The sequence below is a fragment of the Homo sapiens genome, chromosome 4 (genome assembly GCF_000001405.40).
Source record: "Homo sapiens chromosome 4, GRCh38.p14 Primary Assembly".
NCBI lineage: Eukaryota > Metazoa > Chordata > Mammalia > Primates > Hominidae > Homo > Homo sapiens.
The window spans coordinates 125,442,975-125,464,352 of NC_000004.12; the positions used below are offsets into that span (position 1 = coordinate 125,442,975).

At 34.4% G+C, this 21,378-nt stretch overlaps 1 protein-coding gene across 6 annotated transcripts in view; it reads left to right on the forward strand.

Moving 5' to 3' along the window:
• FAT4 (FAT atypical cadherin 4) overlaps positions 1 to 21,378 on the forward strand; it is a 177,978-nt gene that overhangs the window by 128,020 nt on the left and 28,580 nt on the right. For 5 of the 6 annotated variants that reach the window (NM_001438396.1, NM_001438397.1, NM_001291303.3 and 2 more), the window contains 3 exons: positions 3,319 to 3,569; positions 5,487 to 9,836; positions 20,589 to 20,693. In NM_001438396.1, the coding sequence (NP_001425325.1) occupies positions 3,319 to 3,569; positions 5,487 to 9,836; positions 20,589 to 20,693 (4,706 nt within the window). The remainder of the gene's footprint in view (positions 1 to 3,318; positions 3,570 to 5,486; positions 9,837 to 20,588; positions 20,694 to 21,378) is intronic. The other variant, NM_024582.6, reaches the window with a different exon arrangement.

Genomic DNA, 21,378 nt, shown 5'->3' on the forward strand with positions numbered 1-21,378 from the left:
TACAGATAAAGAAAGAAGGCTTAAAAATGTTAAGAAATTTTTGTGAATTTAAGTGCTATTCATGGGGTTTAAATTTATGTCCAAGTGAACTATGTTCTAAAGTCCAGTCTCTTAACTAAATGATCATATTCTCCCAGCAGACAGTATAATGCCTATAACCCTAGTAGATCTCAGGAAGAGGCAAAGAAGTTTTACAAAATCAAATGGGGATATTTTAACTTTACAAAAGCAATAGTTGATTTAGGGTTCAGATCACAGTGGTCTCTGTTTATGCAAATAATTTGAAATAGTAATGTATTCTCAAATTAGAAAATAATTTAACGTGTTTATTGATTTTCATTGAACTAAATGTGAACAAATTCTATATTGACACAACTTGAGCAAGAGTCCATGTTGGCCTTCGCAATTGGTACATTTTCCGTCTTCACTACATTCCCTCAGTTGAGTTTTACCTTCCTTCTACTGTGGAATAATGGGAAAAGTGCATGGTGAAGTCATAAAGACAGAAATTCAAACTCTAGATCTGCTATTTATAGATTGTATGTTTCTTTGTGCAACTACTTTAGTCTCTGTTAGATTCAGATTCATTATCCCTAAACAGTCAAAACTAAAACTAAACTATAAGGATAGTTTTGGGATTTAAATAAGAGCATATATAAATTGCCCAGTAGTGTGCTTGACATGCACTAAGAAATCAATAAGCTCCTGGAAATATTTAAGTAACAGCATAAATGTTTAACTGTTAAGAAGATACCACAAGACACAATCTAATAAAGTTTTTAACTTTACAAAAATTAATGCAGGCCAGAGAAGCAAGAGAGGTCATCAGGAGGGATGAGAATAGAACCAAGCCTCAAGTAAGAGATGTGGCAAAAATCTAGACATATTATCTTAACTGTCGATCTACGTACAGAGCTTATTGTGTTTCTTCTATTTTTAAAATTAGAAGTATAAATTTTCATCCAACTGGTGTTATAGAACATCTCATATTTAAAATATACTTTTATATGCTTTAGAATCTAGTGAAGTCTAGAAAAAATTAATTAGATATTAATGACTATTTGCTCATTCATTTTAAAAAATACTAAATATATTACCTACTTTAAAATAGACAGTCATACGGGCAATAGCATGTGCAATAGCATAAAATTAAAAAATCAGAATTTATACCATAGGTTTCTTTGTCTGTTTTGTGCTGCTATAGCTACAGACTGGGTAATTTATAAAGAATAGAAGTGTATTTGGCTCACAGTTCTGGAGGCTGGGAAGTCTAAGGGCATGGGGCCTGCTTTTGGTGAGTGCTTCCTGTGTGTTATTTCATGGCAGAAGGGCAGAAGGCATCACATGGTGAGCAATCATGTGAGACAGAGAGAGGGAATCAGGCTGAACTCATTCTTTTATCAGAAGCTCACTCCCTCAATAACTAACTCCCACTTCCGTGATAATGGCATTAATCCACTCATAATGATGGAACCCTGATGGTCTAATTCACCTCTTAAAGGCCCTACTTCTCAACATTGTTACAACACTGTTACAATGACTAATTTCAAGGAACATTTAAATGATAGCAAGTCTTTTTGAATGGATCATTTAGTGAAACTGGACTAAAGGCCACACCATTTGCCTATCAACACATTACGCTTAATAATACACCATGGTCTTGGCATATACAAAACATCCAGATGAAAATTTATGTTTTTTATCAATCTCATTTTATTTTTATTTGTGAATATTTATAGGAATAAATATTTGATTGAACCTTGATCCTTGCCATTATAAAACTAAAAAAGTTTATGGCAGCATGGCTTACTTTATTTTCCTATTAAATTATTTGATTATTTCTACATCCACTGACAGCAACAAGGTTCCAAAAATAAAATTACACAATTCTCAAATCCAGTTTTCTACACTTTGTAAAACGTTAAGGTATTTTGATTATTTTGTGAGTCCTGAATTTTCAAGTTTTAAGAATTCATGTATAAAACTTGATATTTATATTTTGATAAAGAGAATATATATTATCTACTGTAAAGGGCAATAATTATACCTAATAGTCACTTCTGGCCCAATAACTATAGTTAATGCTATTTTCACACATGCCTGATTCTGTCGTGTGATTTGCCAAGCATATTAAAAATCTGAGTGACACAAAGTATTTTATCAATACTGAAGCCATTTCTCAACCAAACCACTTCTCTATTCTTTCCCTGTTTTGCTATCATTTTATAAGACTTCTAATAGTTTTAAATATAAGGTCCTCAACAGTTGATTATTTCACTAAAGTAGGATAAAAAATGCTGAAATATTTGTTTTAAGCTGTGAGCATAATAGGAGAATGAACATACTACTGGCTGCAATATAGTTTTTTCCCCTGCAGTTTATATTAGATATATGCTGTTGCTATGTTTATATAGACACAAAGCAAACTGTAGAAACATGCAGCCAACTCCAACAAGGGTATCTATTTGTTGGTATAAAAGAAGAAAACTTTTAAAGATATCTATTTCCATGCTATCTTTCAACTTTAAAAATTACGGACCATAGCCAATTTCTGAACCTTCAAGCTTAGCTACTTCTTTCCTGGCTGATCTTTGGGACCTCACCTTATACACAAAATCAGGAATATATGCAGACAACTGTACTCTTCAGAAAGAAGAGAGAAGCTTTTCTCAGTGGAAACTCTTGCCCGTTAACCTATCTGGTTAGCATCAAAACATCCATGAAGATGTCATACCTCTCCTGACAAGAAAGCAACAAAACCATATGAGGAATGACAAAGACAGAATTAATCACTAGAAAGGTCTTTGTATAAATAATCAGTCCTTGAGTTGTTCTGAGAAGCAGATACATGTCAAATACAGGTTTTGTCTTAAAAGAATACAATTTTCAACTGATCTTCTCTGGTTTATTATGGTATACAGCAGAAAAATAATTTTTAGTTTCATTTAAAAGATATTCATTTGTAATCCTGGCTACTAACCACAATATTAGAGCAAGTCCCCTGATTTATGCTTTTAGGCTCATTTATTTAAAGCCTTAGGGGTTTGTTTGGTGGCCTTGCACAACTTAAGAGTCCTAAAAACCTTGTGAAGACTTCCTTGACATCACTGGACATCTCACGATAAAGACTGTCAATGTGATGTTCACAGAAAATTTGAAATATTTATTAGCTAGACTAGTTGTATTCTTTCCAACATTGTTGTATGATCTTTCTTGTAACGTTTTCTTGCATTTCTACCTCAGTTTTTTAATTATAGTAAATAGAAGTTACGATATTAAAACTATATGACATATCCCTATTTCTGCTTTCTGCTTTAGTTATAGGATCATCGGTGGAAACTCTCAGTTCACGATCAACCCATCGACAGGACAAATCATCACCAGCGCATTGTTAGATAGGGAAACAAAAGATAATTATACTTTGGTAGTGGTCTGCAGTGATGCGGGATCCCCAGAGCCTCTTTCCAGTTCCACCAGTGTGCTTGTCACTGTGACTGATGTCAATGACAATCCACCAAGATTTCAGCATCACCCATATGTCACTCACATCCCATCTCCTACTCTTCCAGGTAATCAACCAAATTCTGAGGCCACATGGATATAAACAAACTATGTATCAGACATTTCTATAAAAATATTTATGATATTTTACATACATATTTCTGATATAGCCTAATTTTGCAAATCCTCTAAAATTCAGGTTGTTTTGTCTGATGGAAATGAAAAAATGCTTGAAACTTGAAAATTAACCCTTTCTTGCTAGACTAATTGTGTATAATGTTTTATAATTGTTATGTATTATTATTTCTTAATATTACTTGAATATTATAAATAATTAACATATATATTACATCATCGTTAATGATGTTTATGGCCTGAGGTATAACTTTGTGTAAGTTTGCTAAGAGGAGGGGCATTGTCTCTATTTTGCATGCCATATGCCACTACCTGAAACATGATATGGGAGATAATAGGCATTCAACTATGTTTGTCAGTGGAAAATGAATATTTGACTTCAATTTTTCATAGATATGTTTTCAAAAAGTTTAATAAATGGATAATTCTTGTTAATATTTATTTTATTCCAGGTTTTACAAATGAAAACTGTTCTGTTAGCAAGTTTATGGATCCATTTATGAATCATTTTCATATTGACAATATGCATTTATCCTTCTGTATCTCTTTAAATTTAGTTTGACATTTGCTAAGAAAGGCATACTCTAAGAACTGCACAAATCTGCCATTTTAATTTTTAAAATGAGTTTTCAAAGAGGAAAATATAGAAATATAGCTCATTATTGATTTAATCTTCCTTGCTCGGAAATATTTTTAATTATTAGAAGAAAAACTTAACAGATAGAGTTAACAGATCCTCCTTTCAGTGATCTTTGATCTTCTATTAATCTGAGAATGATACCAATCTAAAATATAGGATTCATAAATTTATGTGCCAACTTTCTATCAAAGGAAATGTCAGTATCAAAATGATAAATACCTGCTAAAGGTCTTCAGATGAAATGATGTTGGCAGGCATGGTTCTAATTACATCCAATGTGTGGTGGTGCAAGATAAAATTTCCTATGTAAAATGAGGTATGCTTAAGCATCTTTTCCTCATTGGACTTATAACCACTGGCCTTTTTAAAATTAAAGATATTTTACTTTTGTTACCGTTTCTTCTGTAGGGGTGAGAGTGCAGGTTTGGGAATGGTTTCTGAATGAGTAGATTGAAAATATGTCCTTATGGCAGCTTTTCTGCATATTTTTACGACAATCTGTTTCATTGGCACTCAGTCTAAGCACTAACTTTTGGAGTCCAAGTTGAGTCCATTATCCCTCAATTCTTATTTCTTACTACTTTACAATTATTTTAATTGGCTTATGTATATATCTGTGTATGTATATACACACACATATAAACATACACATATGCACTTTTTTTTCCATCTGATAATAGTTCACGTATAAAGGAATTTTGTCATAAAACAGTGGGGACAAGGAATAAATGGTAATGAACATGATTTTTGTTGACAAGATTACATATAAAGTGATTGGAAGATATTTTAAGACACACTAGAGCAACGGTATCATTGCATTGGGTAGAGGCATAGCACTTTGCAGAGCTCGCATATTATGTTTCTTGGAATGTTGTTTTATGTGCAGATTTTTCTCCTAGAAACTATGATTTTTGAACGATTAGCAAGTTCTTTTCCCTAGGCTTCTCTCAAAGGCATACTGAAAAGTATTAAATCCAACAGACTGTATAAATTTTAGTTAGAAAATGGCAGGTTAGTCTCTGAAGACAATCATAGAGCAGATTTGACTTGTGAACCTCGGAGAAAATATAGGAGATACTGTTCTCCCTAGTAATCATGAGAAAATAAGGTCACATCAAGCAGCAATAGAGTGTCTTATATGCACTTATCTGCTACCAAATATTTTATTTAAATTCCACGTGAGTATAACTGCACACTTTCTCTTTTATAGGTTCCTTTGTCTTTGCGGTTACAGTCACAGATGCTGATATTGGACCAAATTCTGAACTGCATTATTCTCTTTCGGGTAGAAATTCTGAAAAATTTCACATTGACCCACTGAGGGGAGCCATTATGGCCGCCGGACCACTAAACGGAGCTTCAGAAGTGACATTTTCTGTGCATGTAAAAGATGGTGGCTCATTTCCAAAGACAGATTCTACAACAGTGACTGTTAGATTCGTGAATAAGGCCGATTTCCCTAAAGTGAGAGCCAAAGAACAAACGTTCATGTTTCCTGAAAACCAACCAGTCAGCTCTCTTGTCACCACCATCACAGGATCCTCTTTAAGAGGAGAACCTATGTCATATTATATCGCAAGTGGGAATCTTGGCAATACTTTCCAGATTGATCAGTTAACAGGGCAGGTGTCTATTAGTCAACCTCTGGATTTTGAAAAGATACAAAAATATGTTGTATGGATAGAGGCCAGAGACGGTGGTTTCCCTCCTTTCTCCTCTTACGAGAAACTTGATATAACAGTATTAGATGTCAATGATAATGCCCCAATTTTTAAGGAAGACCCATTTATATCTGAAATATTGGAAAACCTTTCCCCTCGAAAAATACTTACTGTTTCGGCAATGGACAAGGACAGTGGACCCAATGGACAGTTAGATTATGAAATTGTTAATGGCAACATGGAAAATAGTTTCAGTATCAATCATGCTACTGGTGAAATTAGAAGCGTTAGACCTTTGGACAGGGAAAAAGTATCTCATTATGTCCTAACCATAAAATCATCAGACAAAGGGTCCCCGTCTCAGAGTACTTCAGTAAAAGTCATGATTAACATTTTAGATGAAAATGATAATGCCCCTAGGTTTTCTCAGATATTTAGTGCCCATGTTCCTGAAAATTCCCCCTTAGGATACACAGTTACCCGTGTCACAACTTCTGATGAAGACATTGGGATCAATGCAATTAGTAGATATTCTATAATGGATGCAAGTCTTCCATTTACAATTAATCCCAGCACAGGGGATATTGTCATAAGCAGACCTTTAAATAGGGAAGATACAGACCGTTACAGAATTCGAGTTTCCGCACATGATTCTGGGTGGACTGTAAGTACAGATGTCACAATATTTGTGACAGACATCAATGACAATGCTCCAAGATTTAGCAGAACTTCCTATTATTTAGATTGCCCTGAACTTACTGAGATTGGCTCCAAAGTAACTCAGGTATTTGCAACAGATCCTGATGAGGGATCAAATGGACAAGTGTTTTATTTCATAAAATCCCAATCAGAATATTTCAGGATTAATGCCACCACTGGAGAGATTTTCAATAAACAGATCTTAAAATACCAAAATGTCACTGGCTTCAGTAATGTGAATATCAACAGGCATAGTTTTATAGTGACATCTTCAGATCGAGGTAAACCTTCCTTAATTAGTGAGACAACAGTTACCATCAATATAGTGGACAGTAATGACAATGCACCTCAATTTCTTAAAAGTAAATATTTCACTCCAGTCACCAAAAATGTTAAGGTTGGTACGAAGTTAATCAGAGTTACAGCAATAGATGACAAAGATTTTGGACTGAATTCAGAAGTGGAGTATTTCATTTCTAATGATAACCATTTAGGAAAATTTAAGTTGGACAATGATACGGGGTGGATTTCAGTAGCATCCTCCCTGATTTCTGACTTGAACCAAAACTTTTTTATCACAGTCACTGCAAAGGATAAGGGAAACCCTCCACTTTCTTCCCAAGCAACTGTTCACATAACTGTCACTGAGGAAAACTACCATACACCTGAATTCTCTCAAAGCCACATGAGTGCAACCATCCCTGAGAGCCATAGCATTGGGTCCATTGTCAGAACTGTTTCTGCAAGAGATAGAGATGCAGCGATGAATGGCTTGATTAAGTACAGCATTTCTTCAGGAAATGAAGAAGGCATTTTTGCAATCAATTCTTCTACAGGTATATTAACACTAGCCAAAGCTCTTGATTATGAGCTATGCCAGAAACACGAAATGACGATTAGTGCTATAGATGGAGGATGGGTTGCAAGAACTGGTTACTGCAGTGTGACCGTAAATGTGATTGATGTGAATGATAATTCTCCAGTATTCCTCTCTGATGACTATTTCCCTACTGTTTTGGAAAATGCCCCAAGTGGAACAACAGTTATCCACCTAAATGCAACAGATGCTGACTCTGGAACAAATGCTGTGATTGCGTATACTGTACAGTCATCTGACAGTGACCTCTTTGTCATTGACCCTAACACAGGAGTCATAACCACTCAAGGCTTCTTGGATTTTGAAACCAAGCAGAGCTACCATCTTACTGTGAAAGCCTTCAATGTCCCCGATGAGGAAAGGTGTAGCTTTGCCACTGTTAATATACAATTAAAAGGGACAAATGAATATGTGCCCCGTTTTGTTTCCAAACTTTACTATTTTGAAATCTCAGAAGCAGCTCCTAAAGGTACTATTGTTGGAGAAGTGTTTGCTAGCGACCGTGATTTGGGCACTGATGGGGAGGTACACTATTTGATTTTTGGTAATAGTCGAAAGAAGGGTTTCCAGATCAATAAGAAGACTGGACAGATTTATGTTTCTGGAATTCTTGATCGAGAAAAAGAAGAAAGGGTGTCTTTGAAGGTATTGGCCAAGAACTTTGGCAGCATTAGAGGTGCAGATATAGATGAGGTCACTGTAAATGTCACCGTGCTTGATGCAAATGACCCACCCATTTTTACTCTAAACATCTACAGTGTGCAGATCAGTGAAGGGGTCCCAATAGGAACTCATGTGACCTTTGTCAGTGCCTTTGACTCAGACTCCATCCCCAGCTGGAGCAGGTTTTCTTACTTCATCGGATCAGGGAATGAAAATGGTGCCTTTTCTATTAATCCGCAGACAGGACAGATCACCGTTACTGCAGAATTAGATCGAGAAACCCTTCCCATCTATAATCTCTCAGTTTTGGCTGTTGATTCAGGGACCCCCTCAGCTACAGGTAGTGCCTCTTTATTAGTCACCCTGGAAGATATAAATGATAACGGGCCCATGCTGACTGTCAGTGAAGGAGAAGTCATGGAAAACAAACGGCCAGGCACTTTGGTGATGACCCTTCAGTCCACTGACCCTGATCTCCCTCCAAATCAAGGTCCCTTTACTTATTACTTGCTGAGCACAGGTCCTGCCACCAGTTATTTCAGTCTGAGCACTGCTGGAGTTCTGAGCACAACCAGAGAGATTGACAGAGAGCAGATTGCAGACTTCTATCTGTCTGTGGTTACCAAGGATTCTGGTGTTCCTCAAATGTCTTCCACAGGAACTGTGCATATCACAGTTATAGACCAAAATGACAATCCTTCACAGTCTCGGACGGTGGAGATATTTGTTAATTATTATGGTAACTTGTTTCCCGGTGGGATTTTAGGCTCTGTGAAGCCACAGGATCCAGATGTGTTAGACAGCTTCCACTGCTCCCTTACTTCAGGAGTTACCAGCCTCTTCAGTATTCCAGGGGGTACTTGTGATCTGAATTCCCAGCCAAGGTCCACAGATGGCACGTTTGATCTGACTGTCCTTAGCAATGATGGAGTTCACAGCACAGTCACGAGCAACATCCGAGTTTTCTTTGCTGGATTTTCCAATGCCACAGTGGATAACAGCATCTTACTTCGTCTCGGCGTACCAACAGTAAAGGACTTCTTGACCAACCACTATCTTCATTTTTTACGCATTGCCAGCTCACAGCTGACAGGCTTAGGGACTGCTGTGCAACTGTACAGTGCATATGAAGAGAACAATAGAACGTTTCTTTTGGCAGCTGTGAAGCGAAATCATAATCAGTATGTGAATCCCAGTGGCGTAGCCACCTTCTTTGAAAGCATCAAAGAGATCCTTCTCCGGCAGAGTGGAGTAAAGGTGGAATCTGTGGATCATGACTCCTGTGTGCATGGCCCATGTCAGAATGGAGGGAGCTGTCTACGAAGATTGGCTGTGAGCTCCGTATTAAAAAGCCGTGAGAGTCTTCCAGTCATCATCGTGGCAAATGAACCTCTGCAGCCTTTCTTATGCAAGTGTCTGCCAGGATATGCGGGTAGCTGGTGTGAAATAGATATAGATGAATGTCTTCCATCACCTTGCCACAGTGGTGGAACCTGTCACAATTTAGTGGGAGGATTTTCATGCAGCTGCCCAGATGGCTTCACTGGTAGGGCGTGTGAGAGAGATATCAATGAGTGCCTGCAGAGTCCTTGCAAGAATGGTGCCATCTGCCAGAATTTTCCAGGAAGCTTCAACTGTGTTTGCAAAACTGGATACACAGGTATGACAACGTTTGTACTTTTCTCACTAAGACTTTAGCCATGTCAAGTATATTGAAACGAAATAATTTTATCATTTTCCAATGATTTTCATATAAATGAGCATAATAGTAACAAATGTTTTTAAACATTTACTGTTGGTCAAATACTGTTCTAAGCACTTTTTATGTATTTGTTTTGTTTACTTCTTACAAGAAAACTTATGAGGTAGGAATATTTTCCAGTTTCTATAGGCAAGGAAGTTGAAGTAGAGAGTAAGTAATTAGGTTTTCTCAGGTGATTCAGTTACTTTGCTGTAATGTCACTATTCAAGTCTACACAGTTAAATCCAGAACTTAAGTGCTTAATCTCGTAGCGTCTCTTACAAGAGCAAAAAAGAGAATAATATCTACTTAAAAGAGTATTCTAGATATTAAAGGATAAAATATATACAAAACATAAGATTTGGACCATTTTGTGTGTTAAATAATTGTTAACAATGATTGTTGTTGATTCTTTATCATCATCGTTTTTGTGACCTTTTAAAATCATAGTCGTCATTATTATCGAAATGTGATCCACATCGTGAGAAGAGCGAGAATCATGTTTTCAGATTTAGATTAAAATGATGTGTTATTGGGCCAGGCAAGGTGGCTCATGCCTGTAATCCCAGCACTTTGGAAGGCCAAGGCGGGCAGATCACGAGGCTGAGAGATCGAGACCATCCTGGCCAACATGTGAAAACCCATCTCTACTAAAAATGCAAAAATTAACTGGGCGCGGTGTTGTGCGCCTGTAGTCCCAGCTACTCGGGAGGCTGAGGCAGAAGAATCACTTAAATTCGGGAGGCAGAGGTTGCAGTGAGCCGAGATCGCGTCACTGCACTCCAGCCTGGCAACAGAGCAAGACTCTGTCTTAAAAAAAAAAAAAAAATGGTGTGTTATTCCTAATGGTTGGGTAGAAAGCACAATAGGCTTATTTCTCAAGAAAGCTAGAACACAACTGAGCCACAGCTTATCTTGACAGACTAGAAAGCAGCATTAAACATAGCAGTAAAAATTTTGAACTAGTCTTTGGCACCCTAGTGGGATATGATGTCCATATATACATAGATCTCTACCTATTTCTACTCCATGTCTATATCATTATTATCTATCAACCTATCTATTAGTTAATCAGTGGTTGATGTTCCTTCAAATGTGAATAAATGTTATGCTATTGATAAGTTCGAGGAGAGCAAAATTCTATCTTATAACTTGCACATTATACATTTGTAAAGCATGCATATTACATTGAGTTACTCTGCAGTATTTATAAACATAATTTACAGTACTAGTAGTATAGGTAGAATCAAGATAGATTGCTTTAACTTTTGTAGATGTATTACAGAATAATATTTTAAGCAAATGCATTTCTATGTTATATTTTCAAAAGTGTCCATTATGTGTATACTGATGGTTTTATATTTGGAGAATTGAATCACTTGAGGAAAATATAGAGCAAGTTTGAAAATGTTGAAACAGAACATGCAGTCTTTGCCTTCTAATGAAATAACTTTGAAATGTAAATGAAGAAAAAGTGGCAGAAAACATGTGTAATAGAAAAAGTGATAGATTTCACAGAATCTGATTTAGCTATAGCTTTTGGGAAGTCACCTAACCTTAGCTGATTCTTCATTTCTCTGTCCACAAAATGGGAATAATCATAAGTACTTTCAGGGTTTTTGTAATGAGTAAATATAATGTTTGTAAAACACCTAGTACAGGCCAGGTGCAGTGGCTCACGCCTGTAATCCCAGGACTTTGGGAGGCTGAGGCAGGTGGATCACCTGAGGTCAGGAGTTCAAGACCAGCCTGTCCAACATGGTGAAACCCATCTCTACTAAAAATACAAAAATTAGCTGGGCGTGGTGGCAGGTGCCTGTAATCTCAGCTACTCAGGAGACTGAGGCAGAGGAATTGCTGGAACCCGGGAGATGGAGGTTGCAGTGAGCTGAGGTCGCGCCATTGCACTCCAGCCCAGGCCGACAACAGTAAGACTCCATTTCAAAACAAACAAACAAAACCCACGTGGTACACTGTGCAGTATTCAGTAATTGCAGTCTAATTAGTAGTAGTAATAATGGTATTAGTATAGTGGTAGTAATAGAGGAGTACCACAGAATTTTTAAAAAGACATGAAACCTGTGTAGCGGAAGTTAACTGTGAGTCTTATGAGAGTTATTTATATGCTAAGATCATGAATAATAGAGCTATATACATGCTGAGGTCAGGATTTCTAGAACACTTCCCTCACTCTTTCTTACCCATCCCCAAAATTACTTTATCGGCTGGGAATTCAACAATAAGAGTTTTTATATTCTACATTAGTCTAATGCATTTATTCACACTTAGGTTTAGATTGAGTTTACATTTAGTCCTAGAATGAAGAAAGTGCAAATGTATTAGGTATGGATAAGAAACATGGAAAGTACTACTGGTGTGAACAAAGGCACCATTTGCTGATTTTAGCATAAATGATGAGTAAGTTACTTCTGTCTGGCTTGTTTATTTCTTTGTTTCATTTCATTTAAATATACATTGCATACTTTTCTAAACGTGATAGTTGAAACTCTTAAAAATGCCTTTCCTTACATCATAAAATATTAATAACATTTATCAAGCAGTTATGTAAAGCACTTTTTAAATCTCCTTGCATTATAGACATTATTACATTTAGTTCTTACAACTCTGTAAGATGGATATTATGATTATTGTTCCAATTTTGAAGACCAAAAAATTAAGTCTTCGAGTCATTAAAAGAGATTAGACAACTTGCCTCCAGCCATGGCACAGAAAGTGTTCTAACTAGTTTTTTACTAGAAACTTGGCTCTGGTGCCTCTGCTATTTATATACATGTCGCACTCATCACACTTTGATTTGCACTTGCTATGGAGTGTTATGGTGAGTTCTATGGTGATATTATTTAAGAATGTTTTGTCCATCATTCTATTAATACTTAATCCTCACAGAAAGCCTATAAGACAGTGTATTGTCTGAGACTGATCAGAAATCGGAACTACTCTCAGACTTTGAGGCAGGAAAGTATTTGCTACAAGGAAACAGCTTACAAAATCTTCAAACTGGCTAAGAATACAGGTCAGGAACATTCACCAATGGGCGCAGCAATAAAGACATGGCAGGCATTGCAAGACACCGCTGCTGATCCTCTTGCCCACCTGCAGTGCTGCACCAAGTGATCTGAGGAGAATGGTTCCTGCTTTGCTTTTACCATTCAGATATCATCACAGTCTTTTTTGCTGGCAGAATATAAACTTGAACCCCGCTGGAAGGGAGTCTGGAAAAGGTAGTTTTCAGACTTCCAGCCCTTGCAATATGGAAAGGTAGGAACGATGCTGAATGTCAGCAGATGATATGTGGCTCAGGAAGATGTTATTATTCTTCCTGTTTTACACTGTAGGAAATTGAGCCTACAGTCTGGTGACTCCAGGGCCAGAGCTGCCAAAGTCTATATCATAAACTCTTTCTAGGGAAGGTTGTTTGAAGTTATACATTAACGTTACATACTTCTCCTCAGAGTTCACTTCAGTCTTCATTTGCATAGTAGGAGATAATCCAACTGATCAGGAATGATATAAACAAACATAAAATTGAATGATTAAGATGAATCTTACATTTTTTAAATCAAGTTTCAAATTCTGTATGAAAAAAACCATCCAGTAAAACTGGCAGATAATTAATGTCTGACAGTTTTATTTCCTTTTTGTATTTTGTAGGAAACAATATGAAAAAAGCATAGTGAGTGGCAAATGTTAATCCATACTTTAAATTAGAAATGTATTGCTTAAATTTCTATAGTTTGTTAATTTTTTTTGTAGAGGTAATCTCTGAAGGATCATTCTGAGTTATTCTTTTTACCTAGTCTCTGCCAGATAGCCTGGCTCAGGAAGACAGAGCTAATATACCAAAACATCTTAACATCTAACCTAGTCAGAGCTAATAAACCATAAGACAAAATTTACACATAACTGTATGTGTGCCTCATAGAATGATTTTTTAAAAAATTACTCATAATAGCTAGATTTTACTTCAGTTAACATGAATTAAATTGTAGTGCCTTAGTAAAGCTTCACTTCTTCAAGGTCTGTATATAATTTTTGGCCATCAGAATTATTTTAAATTACTGTATTTTTCATACTCTACTTTTGTGGGCTTCCACCTGCATTTTATCAATAGGTTTCAAAGTCTGTGAAATTACAAATTGGAGCTGCACAATTTTCTGAACTTTCTGCTTAAAATAATCCTCAGCCACTACCCATACCCAGTTTCTCTCATACACACACACACACACACACACACACACACACACCACTGAGTATTTTATGTGGATTTAGAAATTGTGTTAAGGATTAGAAGAGTAAGTGGCTTATGAGTTGATGCAAACTAAGAGACTTTATCCCCAGAATCCCCTAGGGTGTGATTAAATGTTAGCTGAATGGAGATTTTATGTAGAGAACAACTTATAAGGACGCAAGTATGAAAATGATAATCATGGAACAAAAAATAGGAAGGGATATAGTTATTATCATACTGTCACAAGTTTATTTCTGAAATATTCTTAAAGTTTATTTTCAAGTCTGTAACCATGCACATAAGTATAAAACAACTATATTTTTTAATGAATGAGTGATTTAGAGGGAATGAATTTGTATAACATGTATTTCTTATCTCTTTTCCTTAGTTACTGGAAAAAGAACCAAAAGAAAATTGAAAAAAAGTAACATATTCAGTTATAATCACTTCATATGTTTCATTATTAAGAAAATTTTCTTATAATTTTTATATTAATATCACCATATGAAGCTTTGATTAACTGTAACATAAATTATTAGAAAAGATGGATAAAGTTTATTATAGTATAGGCCATGTGAAAAATTAATTTCTAAATTTTCACAAAATGTAATGACACCAAAAATTAACATCAGTTGTCAGTATGCCTCAGTGAATAAAAACTATTATTCCTGCCACATAAGTCTAGGGGTTCCTAGAGGAAAACTTTAGCCTAATAACGACACATGTAGTATTTATTTTCATATACAAATGAAAATGTCTTGCACTTAATAGAACACTAATTAGAAAGTACAGTAATAGTAACCACATCAACATTTGTCTACTGCTGCCAGGTTTTCGCTGTTTGCATCACATTCCTGGCATTAAATCCTTCATGGGAATGGATGGTGTTATAAAATGCAGCATTTTGATAGAGCTTATTTATAAATCTGGCTATCTTATAACATAATTAGTTCATAGTCTCTTTAACCTTTTCCATTCACTTTCACACATCTGGATGCATTTCAGGTGTAGTATTTGGAATAATGCCGGGGGTTTATTACCTTATGGAGAAGTTTTCCTATGTTCTCAATTAAGTCCCGATATTTCAGGAAAGATGAGGTTTGTTCATTCATCACTTTTATGTCATTTGACAGTATAAACAGTAAAATTTTTTCAGACATACCAACTTATATACAGAATATGCATAGTAATTTTACTGAGAAACTTGCCAGATATTTGCTTTCATAAAGATGGAAAGAGTTACTAAGAGTGATTCTTTTAAAATTACTACGGTCATGTATTGGTGTTGTTGATGATCATGTGACCGGAAAACCATATAATATAAAAGAAATTTAGTAAATATATATGAAATTAAATTTTGTTTGAGATAAAGAAGAGTGGCTCATGTAAGAGACAATAAAGAGTGCAATTATTTTTATTTAATTTGATTCCTGAAAGCAGAATTAGGCAGTTTACATTAGGTAATACATTAACTTATAAAAGCATTAATAACGTATGTTTCTAAGAAGTAGCTTAAATGCTTATTTCTGTAGAAAATAAGCATATATTTATAAGCTTATGAACATTATGTGTGTAATCATATGTAATCATTTGTAGTCTCATTGAGGTTGTGTTTGTGCTTGTTTTACAAGACAAAGGTAAAAACTTTTTTTGGTTGTTGCTTTTGTTACTGGCAGCCCTTATTAAAACATGGTATTTTTGCTTTTGTTTCAATGCAAAAAAGCCATAAGGCTATTGAACAGGATACTTAGACTATCTTCATAGCTCCTTAACAATAATGGGAAACATTTGCATACTGTGCAAAAGACAGCTACTTTTTGCTAAAATAATTTGGAAAATATATAAGATAAATGCCTAGAATGAATAGCATATATTTATTATAGAATTTCTTTATTAATAACATAATCAATTTAGACCTAAAATGGATTTTTAGAGTTGCACATATTCTCCCATCTCCTCTGTGTAGAAATACAGGAGATTTAAAAATAATATTTATGGTAGTCTAATATGTATATATAATCTAAGATCTTAAATTGAAGGCTACATGTATCATAGGGTATCAAAAATTATCGTATCTTCATGGAGTGGTCCAATTTAGCAGTTGAGAATAAATTTAGCTCTATTTCACATAATCCAACATTAAAATGTGCTTGGACAAGTGAAACTTGAATATACATTCTTGTTGAAAAGACCATAGGTGATTACAATAGATTCAGTTTATGTTCAACACGTCATCACATCTTCTGCCCCCAAACATGAAAATAGACACAAAATTTCTCCTGTAAGTTTAGGAAAGTCTGCGGATACCATGGATTCCTATTATGCATTTATTTTCACCTTAAGCTATTCCCACTTTCCATGTGCTAAGAATTTACACTTCTTCAAGCACATCTCCTTCTAGTTATGATAAATAGTGTATGGCAACACAATTAATTGATGGATGTCAAAGCAATGAGATCAATTTATTCTTCTAAACAGCTGCTATGGCAGTAAACATATCTTAATGGAAGGAGGCCTCTTGAGTTCAAGAGGAATAAATGCCTGTCTTTGTGCAAGTCCTATCAGCATACTTCCAAGCCTGAAGGCGTTTGGCAAGTATTGTTAATTGACTTGTAGCATTAATTAAGTTAATGATCCAAGATTTTGTTTCACAGTGCTTCAACACATCAGATTATTGTACCAAGAGCATGTTAGAGTAATTCAAACTACTGCATTCTCTGATACTCATTATGCTATTAACACTACAATTTAAGTAGATAGACTTGCACAAAACAATTCAGAATTTTGTTAATTTCTAATTGGGTAAAAAAGCATAAACTTTCCAAACCTGAGAAATATGCATTTAGAAGCTTTCTTTTGATTCTAAGTAAAATTATGGAATCCTTTTCTCACACAAAAGACACAGGTGTTTTAAATAATAATTTAAATTTAAATCTGTTTTCCTACTATGTCTTTGAATTCAAGTATCTGCTATGGCAACCTCTGAGTTCATGAATTGTAAAAAATTTTTACTCTTTAAATGGAGAACTCAATTTTTAAATAGTAAATAATTTACATACTCTACCACCAACAGATAAGACTATTTTTTCCAAACTCAACAACAAATTCCTTTATTTAACCCCAAACAAAGCCATTTTATCTATTTTTTTAACTTATATTTTAGGTTCTGGGTACATGTGAAGGTTTGGTACATAGGTAAACTCATGTCACAGGGTTCGTTATACAGATTATTTCATCAACTAGGAATTAAGCCCAATACCAAATAGTGATCTTTCCTGCTCCCCTCCCTCCTCCCACCCTCCACCCTCCAGTAGACCCCAGTGTCTGTTGTTTCCTTCTCTGTGTCCATGTGTTCTCATCATTTAGCTCCCACTTATAAGTGAGAACAGGTGGTATTTGGTTTTCTGTTCCTATGTTAGTTTGCTGAGGATAATAGCCTCCAGCTCCATCCATGTTCCCACAAAAGACATAATCTTGTTCTTTTTTATGACTGCATAGTATTCCATGATGTGTATGTACCACATTTTCTTTATCCAATCTGTCATTTATCAGCATTTAGGTTAATTCCATGTCTTTGCTATTGTGAATAGTGCTGCATTGCACATTCATTTGTATGTGTCTGTATGGTAAAATGATTTATATTCCTCTGGGTATATACCCAGTAATGGGATTGTTGGGTCAAACAGTAGTTCTGCTTTTAGCTCTTGAGGAATAGCCATTATTAATTATTTGTAATTATCCACTAAGACAAAGTAAAAAGGAACAACCTTATTTTTAAACTGAAATACTGAATGCAAGGTTGAATTTGTTTTTTCTTAACAATTTCTATTTCTATTTGTGTATACTTGAAGAATCAGATTCTATTGAGAATTTAAGTTTTATAGGAAATTCGTTCTCAAAATTAGTATTTTATTGGTTTGTAACATCTTCTGCCACTTTGTAATCACTGTATGTTTTAATAAATGAATAAGTCTTATTTGTGTTAGGATATATTTCCACTCCTCACTCTGGAGTAACTGCAATAGCCTGTATTTTATATTTAAATTAAACTCAGATGTCTATGTTAAAATATTTTATACAGGGTTAAATAAGAATTGATTCATATAATTATACACAAAAAGAACAACACGTAAATTTCATTTGTTGCTATTTAACTCAAGATTTATAAAGGTAGTATTTGTAAATGAAATTCAAAAAACATATAGTAGCTTTATAGGAACAATGACTTGGGATTTATACTCATATATTTTTGTCAGAGAGCACATATGTCCAATTATTTGAGTAAGTATACATAGCAGTACCCTCTACATTTGTTACTTCTTATTTGTTCCTCATTTCCAGTCGTTAAGAAGTGAAGGTGGCAATTTTGTAACCCACTAACATGTTTTCATGATAACAAGGCTATATTGAACACACTTATAAATACATATATAAGTCTATGTATTTTATACATGTTACTTTTAACACAACTCTAAAATAATTTTTTGGATAAAGAAAGGAATGAAAGAAAGTAAAACTGTACCTAGTCAAAAAGCACAAGTGAAAATTATGTGTGCTTTTACAGTGAAAACCAAATGGAAAGAGTAGAATATTACTTTATTGATGACAACTAATCAAAAATATGGCCAGTAGACCTTATGTATTTGCAACTGGGAAATACTGTGCTGTAAGAAAAAAAAATCTACATCACTAAAATGGCCTTCACATAATCAGTTGAAAAACAAAACAGGAAAGAGTTCTGTGAAACCGCAACTCTCTGGTGAGAAATCAAGCACTATTTGAAGTTTTCCTGCCTATTTCTCCAATGTAGTACACTGCTACAATACTTAAAACCTGATTTCTGTGCCCATAAATTTGTAACTTGTTTATTTTCATGCCCTTGCCTTAACAATACAAAGGTATTCTGAAATTGTTAGCTCAATGTTTTGCCTTATAAGGAGGTTCCCAATTTATTTATAAGGGAAAAAATGTTGTGTTTATGATTCTGTGATGTACAGAAATGGGCTTAGTTAGCATCATGAGATCTGACTCACACTTATAATTTCAGACCAGAATAAGTGTGGCTCCGTAATCAAGCCACAAAAACAGAACCAATTTAAACAAAATTTTGACTGTGTTTTAAGCAAAGTTAGTATGATGAAATGAAGTATCTATGCTCAGCAGTAGGTCTCGTTGTGCATATAGAATGCATATCATTTCCTGAGCTATCTAATAAATGCATTAGTGAAATTGGGCTGGGAAGTAGAAAGTAACTTCCAGAAACAAATGATGTAGTATTTACAATCCTACTCTCAATGAAAAGAAATTAACTAAGAATTCTGTAACATCTCACTGCATTATGAAATTTGAAAATTAGATCCTAACGAATGTATCAAATGATTGCAATACTTTAAAGTTATAGAACAGTGGTATTAGAACATGTTTAAGTTTAGGTAAAAATAAGTAACAACAACAAAAACAAGTGGGACTTATACTCCAAGTTTTATACACCACGTGATCAACTACCATAGTTTTGTGAAACCTGGATATGGGAGCAGAAGCCCTAAATTGGTCTGTGTCATAGTTTTACAGTTTCACAGACAATATATTAGCCTCCAAGAGGCTTTTATTCTTCACTTTTGAAATGTAAATATTTCCTTTGTATGGATTAATACTCCCTACTGAAATGGAAACACAGTCTGAAGACACTTGTTTGCTTTCTTCACTGCCATATCCCCCTCCATTATCATGTCTGGCCCATAATAAGCACTCACTCAATATTAGTTGATTCAATTTAACAAGATCATGTATGAGAAAAGTCTTTATAAACTGAAAAATATGCTGTTTAGGTATTATCGCTTCAGACAAAAGACAAAGTATACATAATCTGTAGTCAAGAATAAATTTTCATAAGCATTTGAAAATATGATGTGTTTTCTTATTTCTTATTCTGCTTTACAACAGATATGTGTAATTCAAGTGATATTTCTTAGTAGTAGAAAGAGTGTAGTTTGATAAATAAGATAAGTTATTATCTTTGAAATACCTAAGTCAAGAAAATCTCTGCAGTGAAAAGAATACTGTAAGTTTCAACTTTCTATCTATAAAATATAAAAGATGAAGGGACATTGACACAGAAAATAAATTCAGTGAAAGCATTTAAATATGTTTATCATGTCATTTCTCTGCAAACAGTATTTTCTTCCAAGATGATTATGTAAATTATTTCCTAAGTATTATAATGCACATTTTACAATAGGACAACTAAACAAGATTTTAAATTCTAAGATATTATTCTAATTTCCTTATGTCAAGTAAAACGTTTTTATATTTCTTTTCTCCGTGATATGCCTTAGGAAAGATTTTTACGTATGGTAATGGTGTAACGGTGTTAATATATTTATGTATGAGATTTAAAAAAAACTGAATTTGATATATTTTAGGGAAAATGTGTGAATCTTCAGTCAATTACTGTGAATGCAACCCCTGCTTTAATGGTGGTTCCTGCCAAAGTGGTGTGGATTCTTATTATTGTCATTGTCCATTTGGTGAGTAAAACTTATTTGTTGATATAAAATATAAGTTTATTTTTGCACACAGTTTAGCAATTTTGTTTTATTATGAGTATGAAAGACCAAAAAATTATTGTTTTACATGGAAGGTTTTATTAAAATAAAATCTTAAATGTTTAACATTTGTAAAAGTTATGGAAATCCCATTGAATACATTGCATTGGTCATTACTAGAAAAAGAGTCAACTCAAGATAATTGAATTAATATTGTTTCCATAGGATATTTCCCCCCAAAGATTTATGGATATCTTCTTTTCAGCTGAGAAGTTATGAAATAAAAAAATTCTGTAAGCACTCTTTCACGTCACTCTCTATTTCAAATCTTTAAGAGTAGTCAAAGTAAGGTTTTTTGTTTGTTTCACTTTTGTGAATTTTGCTTTATTTTTTATTTTTGTTTTTTACATTAGTTTTTAATTTTGTTTTTTATGTTAATTCAGCCACTTTTATTAGAAGGACTTAGTAACTATACCTGACGTTTTCATAATAGGCTTTTTGTAGCTGATACTACCTGACTAATAAAATTTCAGACTAATCTGTCTTTTGGATAAGAAAAATTGTTAAAAAGAACTTTTTTGTATACATACATATTTATTCACCCTAGTGGAATGAACTAAAAGATTCCTTCCAGGTCTTATCCAGCTGTTACCCATTACTGTGCCAG